This window comes from Homo sapiens, chromosome 17 (genome assembly GCF_000001405.40).
Source record: "Homo sapiens chromosome 17, GRCh38.p14 Primary Assembly".
NCBI classification, from domain to species: domain Eukaryota; kingdom Metazoa; phylum Chordata; class Mammalia; order Primates; family Hominidae; genus Homo; species Homo sapiens.
The window spans coordinates 60396944-60418343 of record NC_000017.11 but is presented as its reverse complement, the minus strand read 5'-3'; the positions used below and the strand labels follow the sequence as shown (position 1 = coordinate 60418343).

General features: G+C 44.6%; 1 protein-coding gene and 1 long non-coding RNA gene across 4 annotated transcripts in view, besides 2 other annotated features; both read left to right on the top strand.

The window, feature by feature from the left end:
* The window catches only part of USP32 (ubiquitin specific peptidase 32), a 245090-nt gene that overhangs the window by 4073 nt on the left and 219617 nt on the right, over positions 1 to 21400 (top strand). The gene's annotated exons all lie outside the window — the stretch shown is intronic.
* LOC105371850 (uncharacterized) lies at positions 939 to 15646 on the top strand. 2 transcript variants are annotated; one of them, XR_934893.3, is made up of 3 exons: positions 939 to 1035; positions 4302 to 4439; positions 15383 to 15646. It is a non-coding gene; the product is annotated as an uncharacterized LOC105371850 (long non-coding RNA). The 2 variants fall into 2 exon arrangements; XR_007065870.1 differs by lacking the exon at positions 939 to 1035 and having other exon boundaries at positions 4262 to 4439.
* Positions 19906 to 19955: an enhancer, noted in NCBI's record as "active region_12530". NCBI's record gives its function as "activates an Ori minimal core promoter by ATAC-STARR-seq in GM12878 lymphoblastoid cells {active_cell/tissue: GM12878}" and the evidence as "EXISTENCE:reporter gene assay evidence [ECO:0000049][PMID:35858748]".
* Positions 20056 to 20185: an enhancer, noted in NCBI's record as "active region_12529". NCBI's record gives its function as "activates an Ori minimal core promoter by ATAC-STARR-seq in GM12878 lymphoblastoid cells {active_cell/tissue: GM12878}" and the evidence as "EXISTENCE:reporter gene assay evidence [ECO:0000049][PMID:35858748]".

The following is a 21400-nucleotide window of genomic DNA, read 5'->3' as shown; positions in this document are numbered from 1 at the left end:
AAGCGGGTGGATTGCCTGAGGTCAGGAGTTTGAGACTAGCCTGGCCAAGATGGTGAAATGCTGTCTCTACTAAAAATACAAAAATTAGCCAGGCGAGGGGTCTCACGCCTGTAATCCCAGCACTTTGGGAGGCTGAGGCAGGCAGATCACCTGAGGTCGGGAGTTTGAGACCAGCCTGACTGACATGGAGAAACCCCGTCTCTACTAAAAATACAAAATTAGCTGGGCGTGGTAGCACATGCCTATAATCCCAGCTACTAGGGAGGCTGAGGCAGGAGAATCGCTTGAACCTGGGAGGCAGAGGTTGTGGTGAGCCGAGATCGTGCCATTGCACTCCAGCCTGGGTAACAAGAGTGAAACTCCGTCTCAAAAAAAAAAAAAAAAAGATTAGCCGGACGTGGTGGTGGACGCCTGTAGCCCCAGCTACTCAGGAGGCTGAGGCAGGAGAATCGCTTGAACCCAGGAGGCAGAGGTTGCAGTGAGCTTCGATTGTGCCACTGCCCTCCAGCCTGGGCGACACAGCAAGACTCTGTCTCAAAATAAAAATAAAAATAAAAATAAATAAATACATAAAAATTTTAAAAATCAGGCTGGGCACAATGGCTCAAGCCTGTAATCCCAGCACACTTTGGGAGGCTGAGGCAGGCGGATCACTTGAGGTCAGGAGTTCGAGACCAGCCTGGCCAACATGGCGAAATCCTGTCTTTACTAAAAATACAAAAATTAGCTGGGTGTGGTGGCAGGCACCTGTAATCCCAGCTACTCAGGAGGCTGAGGCAGGAGAAACGCTTGAACCTGGGAGGCAGATGTTGTAGTGAGCCGAGATCATGGCACTGCACTCCAGCCTGGGCGACAAGAGCGAGACTCTGTCACAAAAAAAAAAAAAAAAATTAAAAATCAGCTGGGCATGTGGCTTATGCTTGTATTCTCAGCACTTTGGGAGGCCAAGGCAAGAGGATCTTTTGAGCCTAGGAGTTAGAGACCAGCATGGGCAACATAGAGAGACTCCCCACCAAAAATACAGAACATAAAAGGGTATGTATGCTACACTTCATAAGTGGACACAAATATGGATCAAGACTGGAAGAAAATACAGTTAAAATAAAAAGAAAGAAAGAAAGAAATTTGCTGGGCACAGTGGTTCACACCTGTAATCCCAGCACTTTGGGAGGCTGAGGTGGGTGGATCACCTGAGGTCAGGAGTTCGAGACCAGCCTGGCCAACACGGTTAAAACCAGTCTCTACTAAAAATATAAAAATTAACTGGGTGTGGTGGTGCATACCTGTAATCCCAGCTATTTAGGAGGCTGAGGCAGGAGAATGGCTTGAACCCAAGAGGGGGAGGTTGCAGTGAGCCGAGATCACACCACTGTACTCCAACCTGCGTGACAGATTGAGACTCTGTCTCAAAAAAAAAAAAAAAGGAATTGGATATATACATACATATATAAATACATGAATATATGTGTGTGTGTGCATGTGTGTGTATATATATCCCCAGTTCAATTCAGAAGGAGGAAATAACTGTTAGTACCTCAAAGCTTAGCTGTCCCTTCCTGTTCCCTAATCCCAAACTACCATTTTCCCTGCCAGAGCTTTCAGCAAGCCCTAGGCTTTGGATGACTGCCCTATTCTCATAATGGTTTTATTATCAACCATGGGGAGTAGCCTGAAGAGACAATTGAACCTAACAGCAGCCAGGAATAATGGCTCAACATTAACTAAGACAAAACAAAAATCCATTGCCTTTGGGAGCATTCTTCAAAATTCCATTGGTCGGCATAAAATGACTCTATAGGGCAAATCAAGTCATTCAACAAAGTCATCCCTCCACCACATTTTTTTTAATCCAAATATGTGCCATATACTTTAGGCATCTGGCAGGTGAGGGGGTTGTGGGTTGTTAATTTGCCCACCCCCCTCTTTATGCAGGTTGGCATGCTCTTTGATGGCATACGCCTGTTTCATAATCATCATGCTTTACCTCCATCCCCTAGTATATGTGATGGAACTCACGAAATTCTTGTTGTATGTCCTGAATTAAGCATACATAGAAAATAACTCTTAGCATCTACTGCTTACGCTTTCCCTCATAGATATGAAATCTGCCCATCTCTCTTTCTGGGTTGACCAGTGATGTAGAATCCTTGTATTACCCTAAAGAACTCTCCTCTATCCTCTTTTCTTTGTAAGAAACCCAAGAGTAAGCCAGGCGCAGTGGGTCACACCTGTAATCCCAGCACTTTGGGAGGCCGACGCGGGCAGATCATGAGGTCAAGAGATCGAGACCATTCTGGCCAACATGCTGAAACCCTGTCTCTACTAAAAATACAAAAATTAGCTGGGCGTGGTGGCACGTGCCTGTAGTCATAGCTACTCAGGAGGCTGAGGCAGGAGAATTGCTTGAACCTGGGAGGCAGAGGTTGCAGTGAGCCGAGATCATGCCACTGCACTCCAGCCTGGGCAACAGAGTGAGACTCAATCTCAAAAAAACAAACAAATAAACAAAAAAAACACCACCAAGCATATCTTAAAATTACCAAAAGAGGATTTTTGTTCTTGCTCCAAATTATCCAATTAGAATTGTATAAAGACTCCAAGAAAAGGAAGGCCATTGAAATCCCTGTCATAGCTGGAGTGCTGGGTCTGAAGAGCATGCCAGCACCTCCCAGCTAAGCCAAGTTGTCCCTACTCCAAGGCCACCTGGATCCGAATCATTACCTAGACACTGTCTTAATCCACCAATGGGCTTAAGGGAGTCAACAAACCTTTGAAGTGCTATCCAGTGAATTGTATGCAAAGACTCATCAAAGAGGTCTAGCCCCAAAGATATTAGGAACTAAGGATCTAACAAGTCTAACCTAAGCTTGTGGACCTTCTCGGCAGTGATTCTGGAAGTTAGATGGGTCTTTAACCCATGGAAGCCTTCAAATGGAGACACTGTGACAAACACCAGACACAGGGCTACTCTTGAGAGCAAAAAGGCAGAGGAAGAAGGCAAGGGGGTTTAAAGCCCAATTAACCACATTCCAGGCCCAAGCCAAGGAACCAGGGAGTAAACAGAAGGCCAGTAAGATATTTGACCATGTACAGTGAAGTCCTGTGTCTTCCCTGCCAGCAGCCTACATCCAGCCCTCCCCAGTGGATAGGAATCTCCTCTTGTGCTAATACAAGGCATCAGGACCTTCCAAGACAGGCTGCAAGTGAGACTAAGCAAGGACCCTTCTTAGGGACCTGCTGGATACCACCCTCCCCAAGCATGAAAATAACGAAAAATTTATTTTCTTTATAGAGGACTATAAACAGAGGACTGAACTCCAACCACCCATTCTTTGTTTTAAATTTCTTCCTGTAATCCCAGCTACTCAGGAGGCTGAGGTAGAATTATTGCTTGAACCCGGGAGACCGTAGGTTGCAGCTAGCTGAGATTGCACCACTGCACTCCAGCCTGGGCAACAGAGCAAGACTCCATCTAAAAAAAAAAAAAAGAAAGAAAGAAAAGAAAAATAAAAATCTGGTGTTCCTTCTAGGGAAATTCCAGGCACCTAGCTAGCCTGGAGAAGTAAATGAGCAACTTGATGAACAAGAAGGCAATAGTAGTTTAAAACAATAACTGGCTGGGCGTGGTGGCTCATGCCTGTAATCCCAGCTCTTCTGGAGGCCAAGGCGGGTGGATCTCCTGAGGTCAGGAGTTCGAGGCCAACCTGACCAACATGGCAAAACCCCGTCTCTACTAAAAATACAAAAATTAGCCGGGCCTGGTGGTGGGCGCCTGTAATCTCTGCTACTCAGGAGGCTGAGACATGAGAATAGCTTGAACCTGGGAGGCAGAGGTTGCAGTGAGCCGAGATTATGCCACTGCACTCCAGCCTGGGCAACAGAGCGAGACTCTGTCTCAAAAAATAAACAAATAAATCAATAAAACAATCACCAAGGAAGTTAGAGTCAGGAGATATTTTATTCCCTATAGAAACTAAAGATAACATCTTGTCTTGCTCTGTCACCTAAGCTGGAGTGCAGTGGCATGATCTCAGCTCACTGCAACCTCTGCCTCCCAGGTTCAAGCAATTCTCCTGCCACAGCCTCCCGAGTAGCTGGGATTACAGGCTTATGCCACCATGCCTAGCTAATTTTTGTATTTTTAGTAGAGATGAGGTTTTGCCATGTTGGCCAGGCTGGTCTCGAACTCCTGACCTCAAGTGATCTGCCCACCATGGCCTCCCAAAGCGCTGGGATTATAGGCGTGAGCCACCACGCCCAGCCGATAACATCTTAATATGTGTCCCTGAGTTGTTTTTCAGAAACCCGGACCCACATCCTACTCTGCTAGCACATGGACCTCAGATAAGGGGGAACAGAGGACTGTTCCCAAACCAACCATTCTTTTTTAAAAATTTCTTCCTGAGGAGCCTGGAGAAGGTCACACTCATGAACCACAGGTAACATTCTTTTTTTTTTTTTTTTTTTCTTTTTTTTTTTTTTGAGACAGAATCTAGCTGTCGCCAGGCTGGAGTGCAGCGGTGCGATCTCAGCTCACTGCAACCTCCGCCTCCTGGGTTCAAGTGATTCTCCTGCCTTAGCCTCCCAAGTAGCTGGGATTACAGGCACACGCTGCCATGCCCAGCTGATTTTTGTATTTTTAGTAGAGACAGGGTTTCACTATTGTTGGCCAGGATGATCTCAATATCCTGACCTCGTGATCTGCTCACCTTGGCCTCCCAAAGTGCTGGGATTACAGGCATGAGCCACTGCGCCCAGCCAGTAACATTCTTTTCTGCTGATCCCAAAGTTTTAGACAAAAGCTTTGCCTCTTAACCAATTAGAAATCAAAATTTTTTTAATCCACCTGTCCTCCCTTCCTTTTTAAGTCAAAATAATATATAGCCTCCCTGTACTGGTTTATGACTTAGCCTAGCACATCTGTCTCCCTGCCTTTAAAAACCCTTACCTGTAAGCCATCTGGGAGGTCAGGTCTTAAGTATGAGCTGCCAGCTCTCCTTGTTTGGCACCCTGCAACAAAGTCCTCACTTTCTTTCACTGCTATCCTGACATCAGCATTCTTTTTGCTGGGCCAGGTGAGTGGACCCCAGTTCTATAACACAGGGATAAGGTCTTTCCCTCCCCCACTGGCAGGATACAGAACACATCTCTGCACATAAGTCATGAGCATCTCTCCAACTCCTGCTTCTCCCAAAATAGTTTTCAAAAATGTTTTGTACTATTTTCTTCACTCTTATCTGATATTTACTGTAGTTTTCCATTTAATAGACCCCTGGTTGGATTTCACTTTTTTTTTCCTGTAGCAATGTTTTAATTTGGGCTTCATGTGCTCTAAAAATATCTTGTCAGGGTATCAAAATAACACTGCAGAATGGCAACCTCGGAACTTTAGAGCGTGTTTCTAAATAGTCTAATGATATGCAAGCGTCTGTGATCTTGTCAAAATTGCTGGGGCCTAATGATTTCCTCTTGGCTCTTTCTGGAAGGTTTTCTTTGCTAAGACAGAATTCAGGGAGATAAGCAGGAGAGAACTGAATGAATGTCAATGAATGTTGGAGCTGGGAATGATTTTGGAGAGGAAAAAAATGCATCTCAAATTTTGCAGCAATTTCTCCCCAAAGGACTCACTCTCACCACCTTTCTTCCAGGGCACCGTATTTGTACCCCACTCCCTCCCTTCAGGCCCAGATTTGGTGAGACTGGGGACTAATATTAGAGTTTTTCAGACAGAAAAATCACCTTGCCTTAGATCTTCAGAATCAGAATGTCCCAAGAGGGTCTGGAAATCACTATTTTTTTTTTTTTTTTTGAAACAGGGTATCACTCTGTCACCCAAGCTGGAGTGCAGTGGTGCAATCATAGCTCACTGAAGCCTTGACCTCTCAGACTCAGGTGATCTTCCTGCCTCAGCCACCTGCTCCCCCGCCCCACCGCCCCCATTCCCCACTAGTAGCTGGGACTACAGGTTCACATCACATACCCGGCCAATTTTTGTATTTTTTGTAGAGATGGGATTTCACCATGTTGCCCAGGCTGGTCTCAAACTCCTGGGCTCAAGCAATCTTCTCTGTCTTGGCCTCCCAAAGTGCTGGGATTATAGGCATGAGCCACCACACCTGGCTTGGGGATCAGTATTTTCATAAATATCCTAGGCAATTATCATCATCGGGCAAATTTGGAAAATACCGGTGTGGTGAGCTTGAATTCCAAGTTGGGCTTGTTGGGTCCAGTCAGGTAAATTACAGATTCTCTGATATTGTGCTAGAGCTGGCTCTAACAGGCTCATCAGAGCTGATTATTAAGTTTTTGCAATTTTGCCAGCTGTTTGCTAAACAGAAGCATTATTAAATATTAAATTATATTGAATGCAGGGACTCAAACAGATACTTATATACCAATGTTCACAGCAGCATTGTTCACAATAGCCAAAAAGTGGAAACAACCCAAGTGTCCATCAATAGATGAATGGATAAAAAAATGTGGTATATGCATGCAATAGAATATTATTCAACCACAGAAAGAATGAAATCCTCATATATACTACAACATAAATGAATCTTAAAAACTCTACTAAGTGAAATAAGCGAGACACAAATGAACAAATATATAATTCCACTTATATGAAATATCTAAAATAGGCAAATTCATAGAGACAGAAAGTAGAATAGGAGCTGTACATGGTGGTGCATGCCTGTAATCTCAGCTACTCTGGAGGCTGAGGTGGGAGGATCACTTGAGCCCATTAGTTTGAGACCAGCCAGGGGAACATAGTGAGACCTCTCTCTCTAAAACAAATAAATAAATACAAATTAAAATTAAATTTAAAAAATAGTGACAGACTCTCACTTTGTCACCGAGGCTAGAGTGTAATGGTACAATCACGGCTCAAACTGAAGCCTTGACTCCTGGGCTCAAGTGATCCTCCCACCTCAGCCTCCTGAGTAGCTGGGACTGCAGGCATGCACCACCATGGCTGGCTAATTATTTATTTATTTATTTATTTATTTATTTATTTATTTTTGAGACAGTTTTGCTTTTATTGCCCAGGCTGGAGTGCAATCGGGCAATCTCGGCTCACCGCAACCTCCACCTCCTGGGTTCAAGCGATTCTCCTGCCTCAGCCCCCAAATAGCTGGGATTACAGGCATGCACCATGCTCTGCTAATTTTGTATTTTTAGCAGAGACAGGGTTTCTCCATGTTGGTCAGGCTGGTCTTGAACTCCCAACCTCAGGTGATCCGCCTGCCTCGGCCTCCCAAAGTGCTGAGATTACAGGTGTGAGCCACCGTGCCTGGCCTGGCTGGCTAACTTTAAAAACTTTTTTTTTTTTGTAGAGGTGAAGGTCTCATTATGTTGTCCAGGCTGGTCTCCTAAGTAGCTGGGACTACAGGCACGTGCCACCATGCCTGGCTAATTTTTGTATTTTTAGTAGAAACGGGGCTTCACCATGTTGGCTAGGATGGTCTCAATCTCTTGACCTTGTGATCCCCCCACCTCAGCCTCCCAAAGTGCTGAGATTATAGGCGTGAGCCACCGCACCCAGCCGACAGTTTCTATTTCTAACCTATGTTATGTGCTTTTGACTCTTGTGATTTATATAGCATTATATAGTATAGACTGCATTTGTTTTTGTTTGCTCTTGCTTCTCTAGTTCTTTCTTTCTTTATTTATTTTTTGAGACAGTGTTTCACTCTGTGGCCCAGGCTGGCGTGCAGTGGTGCAATCTCGGCTCACTGCAAGCTCCGCCTCCCAGGTTCACACCATTCTCCTGCCTCAGCCTCCTGAGTAGCTGGGACTACAGGTGCCTGCCACCACGCCCAGCTAATTTTTTGTATTTTTAGTAGAGACAGGGTTTCACCGTGTTAGCCAAGATGGTCTCAATCTCCTGACCTTGTGATCTGCCCGCCTCAGCCTCCCAAAGTGCTGGGATTACAGGCATGAGCCACCGCGCCCACCGAGGCTAGGGTTTTTAAAGGATAGTTTGGAGGGCAGGAGACTAGGGAATGGGGTATGCTGATTGGTTGGGTCAGGGATGAAATCATAGGGGGTCAAAGCTGTCTTCCTGCACTGAGTCAGTTTCTGGGTGGAGGTTACAAGACCAGATGAGCCAGTTTCTTCCTATGTGTTGCTGGGGGTTACAAGACCAGATAGCCCATCAGAATGCAGGGTCTGGAAAATACCTCAAACATCAATCTTAGATTTTACAATAGTGATGTTATCTATAGGAGCAACTGGGGAGATTACAAATCTTGTGCCCTCTGGCTACAAGACTTCTGAACCATAATTTTAACTTTGTAGCTAGTTTGTTAGTTTTTCAAAGGCAGTTTTAGTCGCTGAACAAGGAGATTGTTAGTTTTGGGAAGGGGCTATTTTCATCTTTGTTTTAAACCAAGCTTGTCCAACCCTTGACCCATGGGCTGCATACCATCCAGGACAGCTTTGAATGTGGTCCAACACAAATTCATAAACTTTCTTAAAATATTGAGGGTTTTTTTGTGATTTTTTTAAGCTTATGAGCTATCATTAGTGTTAGTGTATTTTATGTGTGGTCCAAGACAATTCTTCCTCTTCCAATGTGACCCAGGGAAGCCAAAAGATTGGACACCCCTCTTTCAAACTATAAATTCCTCCCATAGTTAGTTTGGCCTATGCTGGGAAATGAACAAGGGTGGCTTTGAGGTTAGAAGCAAAATGGAGTCAGTTAGGTCAGACTTTTTTTCACTATCATACTTTTTCTATGTCAGATTTATCTCACTTGTAATTTTTGCAAGGGTGGTTTCAGAGCCACTAAGCTTGTGGTAATTTTTTACTGCAATAGAAAACTAATGCATTAGGTAACCCTCTTTTTTTCCCTCTGATTGCTTGCTCTGGGGTAAGCCAGCTGCCATGTTGAATTTTTCATTTTGTTACTGAGCAATCAATGGGCTCACTGCCCGACGTGCATAGAGGCCAATACTGTGGCACTAGTTTTTGAGAAAAGTTTTGTTTTTGTTTTTGAGACGGAGTCTCGCTCTGTTGCATAGGCTGGAATGCTGTGGCATGATTTCGGCTCACTGCAACCTCCGCCTCCTAGGTTCAAGTGATCCTCCTGCCTCAGCCCCTCTAGCAGCGGGGATTACAGGCATGTGCCACCATGCCCAGCTAATTTTTGTATTTTTAGTAGAGACAGGGTTTCGCCATGTTGCTCAGGGTGGTCTTGAAGTCCTGGCCTCAGGTGATCCGTGCACCTCGGCCTCCCAAAGTGCTGGGATTACAGGCATGAGCCACTGTGCCCGGCTGAGAAAAGTTTTACTGTGAGTCAGCTGGCAAGGAAATAGGAGGAAATGCTCAGCTGTGTCTCCCCAAGCTGGGGTCTGGGTCATGTTTTATAAGCATAGGGTAGCAAGGTATTATCTGATTGGATCTTGCAATGAGGTGATGCCAGAAGGCATGATCTGACTGGATCCTGGCATGGGGTGATGTCAGAGTTTGATCTGATTGGATCCTGGATCAAACTATGTGGTGTCCACTTAGTTCCGTCTCTGCTCCTTGGTCTGAGCACTTAGATTCCCCCTATCGTTGCATGCTTGCTTCATCTGGGCATGCTCAGGTTACATAACCTTCAACCTGGGGAATCCATAGCAACTGAAAACTCACAACTTTGTTATATAAAAGTTGAGCCAGATTGGCCGGGCATGGTGGCTCATGCCTGTAATCCCAGCACTTTGGGAGGGTGAGGTGGGCAGATCATTTGAGGTCAGGAGTTGAAGACCAGCCTGGCCAACATGGTGAAACCCCATCTCTACTAAAAATACAAAAATTAGCTGGGCATGGTGGCATGCACCTATAATCCCAGCTACTTGGGAGGCGGAGGCAGGAAAATCGATTGAACCCGGGAGGCAGAGCTTGCAGTGAGCCAAGATCGTGCCACTGCACTCCAGCCTGGGGGACAGAGCGAGACTCTGTCTCAAAAAAAAAAGTTGAGCCAGATTGATACGATGTGGTTACAAGTTCAGATACTGTATTTTTCACCACTAGAAGTTCCATCTGGTTCTTTTTTCTTCTTTCCTCATTATATTCATGTTTTTCTTTAAATATAGTTATAATAGCTGTTTCATCATTCTTATCTGCTAATTCCATAATTTCTGTCATTTCTGGGTCCATGTCTGTCACCTGATTTTTCCCCCCTGCTTCTTGGTATAAATAGTAATTTTTTATTGGATCTCAGGATGTCACATTGTTTTTCTTTTTCTTTCTTTTTCTTTTTGAGATGGAGTCTCGCTCTGTACCCCAGGCTGGAGTGCAGTGGCGACATCTCAGCTCACTGCAATCTCCACCTCCCAGGTTCAAGCAATTATCCTGCCTTAGCCTTCCCAGTAGCTGGGACTATAGGCGCTCACCCCCACGCCCAGCTGATTTTTATATTTTTAGTAGAGACGAGGTTTCACCATGTTGGCCAGGCTGGTCTCGAACTCCTGACCTCAGGCAATCCGCCTGCCTTGGCCTCCCAAAGTGCTGGAATTACATGCGTGAGCCACTGCACCCGGCCTGTTTCTGCTTTTTTTTTTTTTTTTTTTTTTTTTGAGACAGAGGCTTGCTCTGTCGCCCAGGCTGGAGCACAGTGGCTTAATCTCGGCTCACTGTAACCTCCGCCTCCTGGGTTCAAGCAATTCTTCTGCCTCAGCCTCCTGAGTAGCTGGGATTACAGGCATGGACCACCACACCTGGCTAATGTGGATGTCACATTGTTGAATGTCTGTATTTTGTAGTCTTCCCTTAAAGAGTATAGGTCTTTGTTGTACCAGATTGTTAACTTACTTTTGGATTAGTTTGATGTTTTTGAGGCTAGTTTTTAAGCTTCATTAAGCAGTTCTAGCGTGTACTTTACTCTAGACCTAGTTTAGACCTTTTAGTAAGGTTTACCTCTGCTGCAGTCTCTCCTGAACATCTTGGGAGGTCACTAAGTTATTTCTACTCCAATTGGTCATAATTTGTATGTTTCCTAGCTCTGGGAATTGTTCAGTTACATCTCTTCAATTGTTCTTTGCTCAGTCTCCTGGAACTTAGCTCTACTTATGGCTACCTTAATATTCAGAAAAAACTCAAGATCCTATGCAAATTTCTGAAGGTTTTTGCATACCTTCTTCCTTTTTGGAATTTTGCACAGCAACTTCCACAGCTGCCTCAGGTTCCATGAACTCCAATCTGTGCGTCCTCAGTGAGATTGCCACATTCTGATTTTATGATCCAGATTGCACCCCTAGGCAAAAAGCTAGGAAAATCACAGAATTTACCTCATTTGTTTTCTTTATCTCAATGACGTCAGTTCTGCACTGCCAATTGTCCAACATCTGAAAACGGTTGTTCTGTATGTTTTGTCTAGCTTCCTAGGTGTGTATGGCAGAAGGGTTAATCTGGTCCCTTTTAACTCCATCATGATCAGAAACAAAAGTCCTCTGTTTCACTGAAATTTGATTAGCATGTCAGTCTTTGAGCAACTGATCAACCTTACAAAATGGAGTTTGAAAAAAGAAAGAAAGAAAGAAAGAAAGGCCAGGCGCAGTGGCTCATGTCTGTAATCCCAGTACTTTGGGAGGCTGAGGCAGGTGGATCACGAGGTCAGGAGTTTAAGACCAGCTTGATCAACATGGTGAAACCCTGTCTCTACTAAAAATACAAAAATTAGCTGGGCGTGGTGGCGCGTGCCTGTAATCACAGCTACTCAGGAGGCTGAGGCAGGAGAATCGCTTGAACCTGGGAGGTGGAGATTACAGTGAGCCGAGGTCATGCCATTGCACTCCAGCCTGGGTGACAGAGCAAGTCTCTGTCTCAAAAAAGAGAAAAAAAAGCAAAAGAAGAACTTCAATGTAGAATTTCAGAATAATGGGCCAGGTGCAGTGGCACACGCCTGTGATCCCAGCACTTTAGGAGGCTGAGGAGGGTGGATCACTTGAGGCCAGGAGTTTGAGACCAGCTTGAGCAACATGGCAAAACCCTTTCTCTACTAAACATACAACAATTAGCTGGGCATGGTGGCATGGGCCTGTAGTCCCAGCTATTTGGGAGGCTGAGGCAGGAGAATCGCTTGAACCCAGGAGGCGGAGGTTGCAGTGAGCTGAGATGGTCCCTGGATGACAAGAACAAGACTGTCTCCAAAAAAAAATTTTTTTTTTCAGAATAATAAGCTTTTTTTTTTTTTTTTTTTTTTGAGACAAGGTCTTGCACTGTCACCCAGGCTGGGGTACAGTGGTATGATCACGGCTCTCTGCAGCCTTGACCTCCTGGACTCAAGTGATCCTCCCAACTCAGCCTCCCAAGTAGCTGAGAATACAGGTGTGCACCAGTACACCTAGCTAAATTTAAAAAAGACATTTTGGAGAGGTGGCGTCTAACTATGTTTCCCAGGCTGGTCTCAACTCTGGGGCTCAAGCAATCCTCCCACACTGGCCTCCCAAAGTGCTGGATTACAGGAGTGAGCTTCTGCACCCAGCCAAATAATAACCTTTGAAAGAATAAAATTCTATGCACGATGGTTACGGATGAATTTATTAAATGGCCCTGAGGTGCCTTTTATTTATTTATTTAATTTTATTTTATGTTTTGAGACAGGATCTCACTCTGTTGCCCAGGCAGGAATGCAGTGGTGTGATCATGATTCACTGCAGCCTCCACCTCCCCAGGCTCAGGTGATCCTCCCACCTTAGCCTCTTGAGCAGCTGGGACTATAGGCAACATGCCACTAGGCCTGGCTAATTTTTGTATTTTTGTAGCGATGGGGTTTTGATATGTTGCCCATGCTGGTCTCGAATTCTTGGGCTCAAGCAATTCAACCGCATGATTTTAAAAATACTAACAGCTTCAGCCAGGCACAGTGGCTCATGCCTGTAATCCTAGCACTTTGGGAGGTTGAGGCGGGTGGACTGTCTGAGCTCAGGAGTTCGAGACCAGCCTGGGCAACACGGTGAAACCCCATCTCTACTACAATACAAAAAAAATTAGGTTGGCTTGGAGGTGTGTGCCTGTAATCCCAGCTACTTGGGAGGCTGAGACAGGAGAGTTGCTTGAACCCAGGAGGTGGAAGCTGTGGTGAGCCGAGATTGAGCCACTGCACTCCAGCCTGGGTGACAGAGCGAAACTCTGTCTCAAAAACAAAAACAAAAACAAAAAACTAACAGCTTCTATTTTTTGTTCTTTTTATTTTTGAAACAGTTTTGCTCTGTCGCCTAGGCTGGAGTGCAGTGGCATGATCGTGGGTCACTGCAGCCTCTACCTCCCTGGTTCAGGCAATTCTTGTGCTTCAGCCTCCCGAGTAGCTGTGCAGCACCATACCGGCTAATTTTTGTATTTTTAGTAGAGACGAGGGTTTCACCAAGTTGGCCAGACTGGTCTCCAATTCCTCACCTCAAGAGATCCGCCTGCCTCGGCCTCCCAAAGTGCTGGGATTACAGGCGTGGAGTCATCGCACCCACCCAAACAGCTTCTAAAATGGGACATTTAGTAGTGATTACTCCTTGGTTGTTTGGAGATTGTGACACTGTTAAGTAAAAAGACCAGCCTTCTATTTAAGTGTCCTTTTCATACAGGAAAGATGAGAAGGTTGTTTCTCAGCAGCCACTATTTTTAGAATTTGAACTCTGGGAACACAATGATGGTTCTTCAAGGCAGCTAATCCCAGTCTCTTTTGTTCCAAGGAGGCTGAGGTGCACTCTTCTACAATTTCCCTATAAACCATACATAGCTTCAAGATGCCTTTAGTGTAGTAGGTCATACAAAGATAATTGAAAAGTTGAGTCTCATTATGCCAAATCTCCTCTCTCAAAGACGGTTTCTCCTAGAACTAGTTCTTTTAGGAAACGAGATTGTCTTCTTGTAGAAATCTGGGCAAAGGAGGAACTAAAGGTTTGGTATAAAAATCAAGTTGGGATTTGCCCTGGAATTAAAAATATCAAAATATTTAAAGCTCAGGACCTCTTCCATGTGCATCACATTAAAAAAAAACTTTTTATTTGGAAATAATTTCAAGCTTACAGAAAAGTTGCAAACACAAGAATAGCACAAAGAACACTTGCATATACCCTTTATTCAGATTCACCTATTAACATCTGCTCAATTTGCTTTATTATTTGCATTCTCTCTCCCTCTCCCCCACCTCTCTCTCTAAAACCTAGCCTCAAATGTAACAGTATCACTTCTGCTACATTCCATCATTTAAGCAGTCATACAGTTCCGCCCAAGCTCAAGGGATGGGAAGTAATCCCCAGAAATATGTGTGTGTGCGCATATTTCTTTTTCTTTCTTTTTTTCTTTTCCTTTTTTTTTTTTTTTGAGGCAGGGTCTCGCCCTGTCACCCAGGCTGGAGTGCAGTGGTGTGATCGCGGCTCACTGCGGCCTTGACTCCCAAGCTCAAGCAATCCTCTTACTTCAGCTGCCCAAGTAGCTGGGACCCACAGGCGTGTGCCAAACTGCCTGGCTAATTTTTTAATTTTTTGTAGACATAGAGTCTCACTATGTTACCCAGACTGGTCTTGAACTCCTGGGCTCAATCAATACTCCCGCCTTGGCCTCCCAAAGTGCTGGGATTACAGGTGGGAGCCATTGCTCCCGGCCCATGTTTCTGTATGTATATAGTCTTCAAATATATATGTGTGAAAAAATATATAGTTTGTCCCTGAAGCATTTAAAAGTAAGTTCAATACATCACGACCCCCTTTCCTTAAATAAACTCATTGTATACTAACTAAGAGCAGGTGTTCAAGTCAAAAGGCATTGTATTTGAGGAACCACACCTGAGGAGCGTTAGTCCCCCTGGACCTGATCTAGATGATGAGATCCTAGACCTCAAGGCTGTTTTAGAAGAAACGGTGTATGCATCTTACAAATGGGAGGAATCTGAATTGTAACCCGAGGGCAGACTGTGGCATGACAACATTTCTGGATATTATTTCACCTCCCCTTAAACCTGGGCAGAACTTTGTGGCTACTTCAATGACTAAAATGCAGCAGAAGTGACACTGCGTTACATCTGAGGCTAGGTCATAAGATACAGCTTGGCTGGGCGCAGTGGCTCATGCCTGTAATCCCAGCACTTTGGGAGGCCGAGGCCGGCAGATCACGAGGTCAAGAGATCAAGACCATCCTGGCCAACATGGTGAAACCCTGTCCCTGTCTCTACTAAAAATACAAAAATTAGCTGGGCGTGGTGGCGCGCGCCTGTAGACCCAGCTACTCAGGAGGCTGAGGCAGGAGAATCATTTAAACCCGGGAGGTGGAGGTTGCAGTGAGCCGAGATCGTGACACTGCACTCCAGCCTGGCAACAGAGCGAGACTCCGTCTCAAAAAAAAAACAGAGATACGGCTTACCCGCCCACTACACCAGCCCCCTTCTCTCCCCTCCTCTTTTCAGGATGCTCACCTTTGGAACCTAACCACAATGTTGTCAGGAAAGAGGAAGCACAGTGGGCTGTTTTTATGACAACTCCAGCTAAGGCCTTAGCTGACAACAAGCATCAACTGGCAGACATGAGTGAGAAAGCCTTCAGAGGATTCCAGTCCCTAGCTTTCAGGCCACTGCAGCTGACACTAAATGGCGTACAGATTAGCTCTCCCCATTGAGCTTTGCTCATTGCAGTTTCATAAGCAAAATAAATGTTGTCATTGTTTTATGCTACTCAGTGTTTGGAATAATTTCTTATGAAGCAATGACAACCCAGAATCACAGTAGCACAGGTATACTCATGTAAGCAAAGTAATGCATACTGTGCTGGAACGTGATTCTGATTACTAATTTAGCGTTTCAGAAGAATAACTGATCAATAAGGACCAGGCACAGTGGCTTATGCCTGTAATCCCAGCACTTTGGGAGGCCAAAGAGGTAGGATCACTTGAACCAAGTTCAAGACCAGTCTGGGCAACGTGGTGAAGCCCTGTCTCTACAAAAAATAAACAAATTAGCCAGGTGTGGTGGTGTGTGCCTGTGGTCCCAGCTACTCAGGAGGCTGAGGTGGGAGAATCACTTGAGCCTGGGAGGTCGAGGCTGCAATGAGCCATGATTGCACCACTGCACTCCAGCCTGGGCAACAGAGTGAGACTCTGTATTAAAAAAAAAAAAAAAAAAAAAAGATAAATGAGGGATGGAATATTGAGGATGGAGAAAATACTGTTCCCCTACCAGGCTTTCTCTTTTGAAGGGACAACCACTAGAATGAAAGATCCTTATATTAGTGCTTGTACAATGCAAAATTGGGTGCAGCTAATACATGCACACAGTGACCTATTAACTAGAATTTCACTTTGCCCACCTTTGTTTTCATTTCACTCAGACAAAAACTAGAAGATCTGGGATAAGTTAGCACCCTTTTCCAGAAAGGTTGCCCATGAGGCTAGCACACAGTGTGAGCTACTATAAGAGTTAGGGGAGAGTTTGTCTCAGTGGGGGAAATTTGAACCCTTTCTCCATGGGTTTTCTGGGAACAACTTTGTATCTACTGGCTGCTCCCTTAGATTTTTGCATGAATTGATTTGTTTGTTAATATTATCTACAAATGTGCACAAAAGTTTGGGCCCCAGTAATCTCTGAGTGACAACCAGGCTGAAGTTCATGCATAGGCAGAGATCTACTTTCTTTCTTTTTTTTTTTTTCTTTTTTTTATAGAGATGGGGTTTCACCATGTTGGCCAGGCTGGTCTCAAACTCCTGACCTCAAGTGATCCACCTGCCTCAGCCTCCCAAAGTGCTGGGATAACTACAGGTGTGAGCCACTGCACCCAGCCCCCAGAGGTCTACTTTTAACCCTTGATTATCATACTTTAACCAAACACATTCTTTTAGAACAAATTTTGAGGGTGCCCAGAACTTCCTGTCAAGTATTGCACATTGATAGCCCCCAAATTACAGTAAAACAGAAACCTGACAAAAACCAATAAAGCTCCTAAGATCTATCTACCTGAAAGCATTCGTCAACTGCTTATAATTCTTTCTTTCTTTCTCTTTTTAATTGAGACGGAGTCTCACTCTGTCGCCCAGGCTGGAGTGCAGTGGCGCGATCTCGGCTCACTGCAAGCTCCGCCTCCCTGGTTCACGCTATTCTCCTGCCTCAGCCTCCTGAGTAGCTGGGACTACAGGCGCCCACCACCACGCCCACCTTGGCCCCCCAAAGTGCTGGGATTACAGGTGTGAGCCATTGCGCCCGGTCTTTTTTTTTTTTTAGACAGGGTCTGGCTCTGTTTCTGTCACCCAGGTTGGAGTGCAGTGGCATGATCTCAGCTCACTGCAACCTCTACCTCCCCGGTTCAAGCCATCCTCTCACCACAGCCTCCTAAGTAGCTGGGACTATAGGCACATGCCACCATGCCAGCTTTTTAAAATCTTTTTGTAGAGATGGGGTTTTGCTATGTTGGCCAGGCTGGTCTCGAACTGCTGGGCTCAAGCAATCCTCCTGCCTCAGCATCCCAAAGAGCTGGGATCACAGGTGGCACCATATCAAGCTAATTTTTAAACTCTTATTTCTTGTAGAGACTAGGTCTACCAATGTTGCCTAGGCTGGTCTCAAACCCCTGGCCACAAGTGATCCCCCCGACTCAGCATCCCAAATAGCTGGGATTACAGGCATGAGCCACTGCACCCATCTTGGTCTTACAGCTTTCAATACCATCAATCTCTAATGACTCCTCAACCTATGTCTCCAGCCTGTACCTTTTCTAACTTCAGAGTTAAATATCTAACTCTCTATTTAACCTATCCACTTGGATGTCTAATAGACATCTCAAATGTAATATGTCCAAAGCTCTGCTTCTGATCTTGACCCACAAATCTCCTTCTCCTGTTGTATTCCTCATCTCAGTGAGTAGCAATTCTGAACTACTTAGGTCACTAAGTTTGGAGTCATCTTTAAATATTCTCTCATCCATCCCAATCTAATCCTGTTGGCTGTTCTTTCAAAATAATATCTGGGATCTAACCTCTCACCGCCTAACCCTCACGCCTGGATTAATGCAGTCGCCCCCTAATTGGTCTCCCTGTGTTTGCCCTTTTGTCCCTTCTCCTCTCACTCCAGTCCACTTTCAACACAGCAGTCAGAGATATCTTTTTTAAATGGATGACAGGCTGGGCTTGGTGGCTCACGCCTGTAATCTCAGAATTTCTGGAGGCCGAGGCAGGTGGATCACCTGAGGTCAGGAGTTCAAGACCAGCCTGGCCAACGTGGTGAAACCCCGTTTCTACTAAAAATACAAAAATTAGCCAGGCATGGTGGCGCATGCCTATAATCCCAGCTACTCAGGAGGCTGAGATGGGAAAATTGCTTGAACCTGGGAGGTGGAGGTTGCAGTGAGCCGAGATCACACTACTGCACTCCAGGGTCAACAACAGAGCAAGACTCCATCTCAAAAAAAAAAGATGACAGATCTCTTCTCCATTCCAAAACCTGTGACAGCTTCTGATTTTACGAGCAAGAGCCAAAGTCTGTAAAGAGGATTTGATCCCATCCCCTTCTCTCACTGTTGCAGGCACACTTGCTTCCTTGCTGGCCCTTAGAGCTGGCAGATGTGCTCTTGCCTCATTCCTTGGACAATCTTCCCTTGGATATCCACAAAGTCTGCTTCATTCTCTCCTTCCAATTTTGGCTTAAATATCACCCTTTTTGCTTCTCTCTGACCATTCTATTTGTATTTTTATATTTTACTTTTACTTATTTATTTATTTATTTTGACAGGGTCTTGCTCTGTCATCCAGGCTGGAGTGCAGTGGTGTGATCATGGCCTACTGGAGCCTCCACTTCCTGGGCTCAGGCAATCCTCCCATCTCAGCCTCCCAAGCATCTGGGACTACAGGCACATGCCACCACACCCAGCTAAATTTTTTTTTTTAAATTTTTTTGTAGAGACAGGCTCTTGCTATGTTTCCCAGGCTGGTCTCAAACTCCTGGACTCAAGCAATCCTCCCGCCTTGGCCTCCCAAAGTGTTGGCATTACAAGTATGAGCCACCATGCCCAGCCCCATTCTAGTTTTAAATTATAATCTTCATCTCAGCACTTCTTGCCTCCTTCCTCTGCATTTTTTTTCTGTAGAACAACTGATGTACTATTATACTTATTTTGTCTCTTTTCCTACTAGAATATAAATTCCATGAGAGCAGGAGCTTTTACTTTGCTCAATTCTGTATCTTCAGCGCCTAGAACAATGCTTGCCACAGAGTAGGCACAGTGGATTTGTTAAGAGTAAATGAATGTCTGCTTTCTTATTTATCTTTCGAGATTCACATTCCCTAGGCTTCCTGCCCTCTTCCCACTCCTTCAATCTGGACTAATACCTCTCCCTACTCTAGGTTCCCATAACATCCTGTATTGTAGGACTTTCTAGAGATTTTTCTTTTTATTATTTTATTTTTTAAAGACAGTCTCACTCTGTCACCCAGGCTGGAGTGCACTGGCATGATCATAGCTCACTGCAGCCTCAAATTCCTGGATTCAAGTGCTCTCCCCAGTTTAGCCTCCCAAGTAGCTGGGACCGAAGGCACACACCACTACACCCAGCTAATTAAATTTTTTTTTTTTGTAGAGACAGGGTCTTGCAATGTTGCCCAGGCTGTTCTTGAACTCCTGACCTCAATCAATCCTCTTGCCTCAGCCTCCCAAAGTGCTAGGATTACATACAGGAGTTTAATTTCTGAGCCAGCCACTGTACCTAGCTAAGCAACTTAAAAAAAAATCATCTTTGTATTCCTCAGGATTTAGCACACAAAAAGTGCTTTATGAATATTAAAATGAACTATTTGCAACATTTATACTCAATTGTTAGGGTAGTGGGAAGATGTTAAATAGGCATGAGGGGCTTGCCAACTTCCTCTTTCTTACATGAATTTCCTTCCTCTTTCTAAGAAACCCAGATTTGATTCTCTTTGCTTCCCTCCGGCCAGAACACCAGTGACTAAACAGGGTTGCCAAAACACCTTTTTTTTTCTTTTTTCTTTTTTTGAGGCAAGGTCTCACTCTGTTGCCCAGGCTTGAGTGCAGTGACGCAGTCATGGGTAACTGTAGCTCTACTTTTCAGGCCCAAGTGATCCTCCCACCTCAGGTTCCTGAGTAGCTGAGACTACAGAGGTACACCACTGTGCCTAGCTAATTTTTAAGATTTTTTGAGATGGCTAGTAATTTAATTTTTATTTTTGTAGAGACAGAGTCTCCGTATGTTGCCCAAGCTGGTCTCAAACTCCTTGGCCCAAGCAATCCTACTGCCTTGGCTGCCCAAAGTGCTTGGATTACAGGCACGAAGCACCCTGCCTGGCCTGCCAAAACAATTTTAACTAAATGCTATTTTATAGCTTTCAAATCCATTTGGAAGAAAATATTGGGACTTTTAAAGATGTTAATTGTTGGGTTAGTACCACCATGTGAAAAAGTTTTATCTTAACCTAGAATCATAAATCACATGGTACATTTCCTAGGTCCTTTTAAGACTCTAATGATTAACCCCATCCTCACTCCCACTGTAAAACTCTTAAAAGAGTTTTCAAATTATACCACAATTACTATTAAATACCTATACGTAGGCAGGCCCATCTCTGTCTCAGAATTTTTTTTGAGTATCAGGATAATAGTTATTGATCAAAAGGAGGCCTGGGGTCCAAAATGGAGGACAATTGGAAAAACAGCAGACCAGTATTTCAGCAAAAGGTGCAAAACAGAATGGAAGCACTGTACTAATAGGTAGTGGGGTGACTATGCATGGTGTCTCATCCCAGCACTTTGGGAGGCCTAGGCGGGAGGATCACTTGAGTCCAGGAGTTTGAGACCAGCCTGGGCAACAAAACAACACCCCATCTCTATAAAAAATTAAAAAATTAGCCAGGTGTGGTGGTGTGCACCTGTAGTTCCAGCTACTCTGGAGGCTCAGGCAGGAGTATTTCTTGAGCCCAGGGTTTGAGGTTACAGTGAGTTATGATCACACCACTGCACTCCAGCCTGAGTGATAGAGAGAGACGCTGTGTCTTAAACAACAACAACAACTGGAAAAAGCCTGATTGAGTTTAAATCTCTCATCCACAAGATGAAGAAATCAAAGCCAAAGGTACACAGCTGGAGCTGGTATTTCTCAAATATCTAAGAAAGCATATTAAGGTGATAAGCTGGACTTAGGTGACTTGACAAAGTTATTATTATCTAGAAACTGAAGTAAGGTATATCCTATATGTTCAAAGTTGGAGTCCATATTATTCTATGCATTTTAATTGCTGATTAGAATTCAACTGGTGTACTTATTCTCAAGCTTGTAGTTTGTATTTTGCTGAAAGAGACTGGCCTAAATGTACAGTCCAGCTGCCACATGGGAAGAAGTAAAGAGATCAAGGAGAACTAAAAGGATGCTACTTGATTTTTTCAGGAGCTTAGGAAGAAAAAGCAGCCACTGGTGGTACTATCCATAAGAC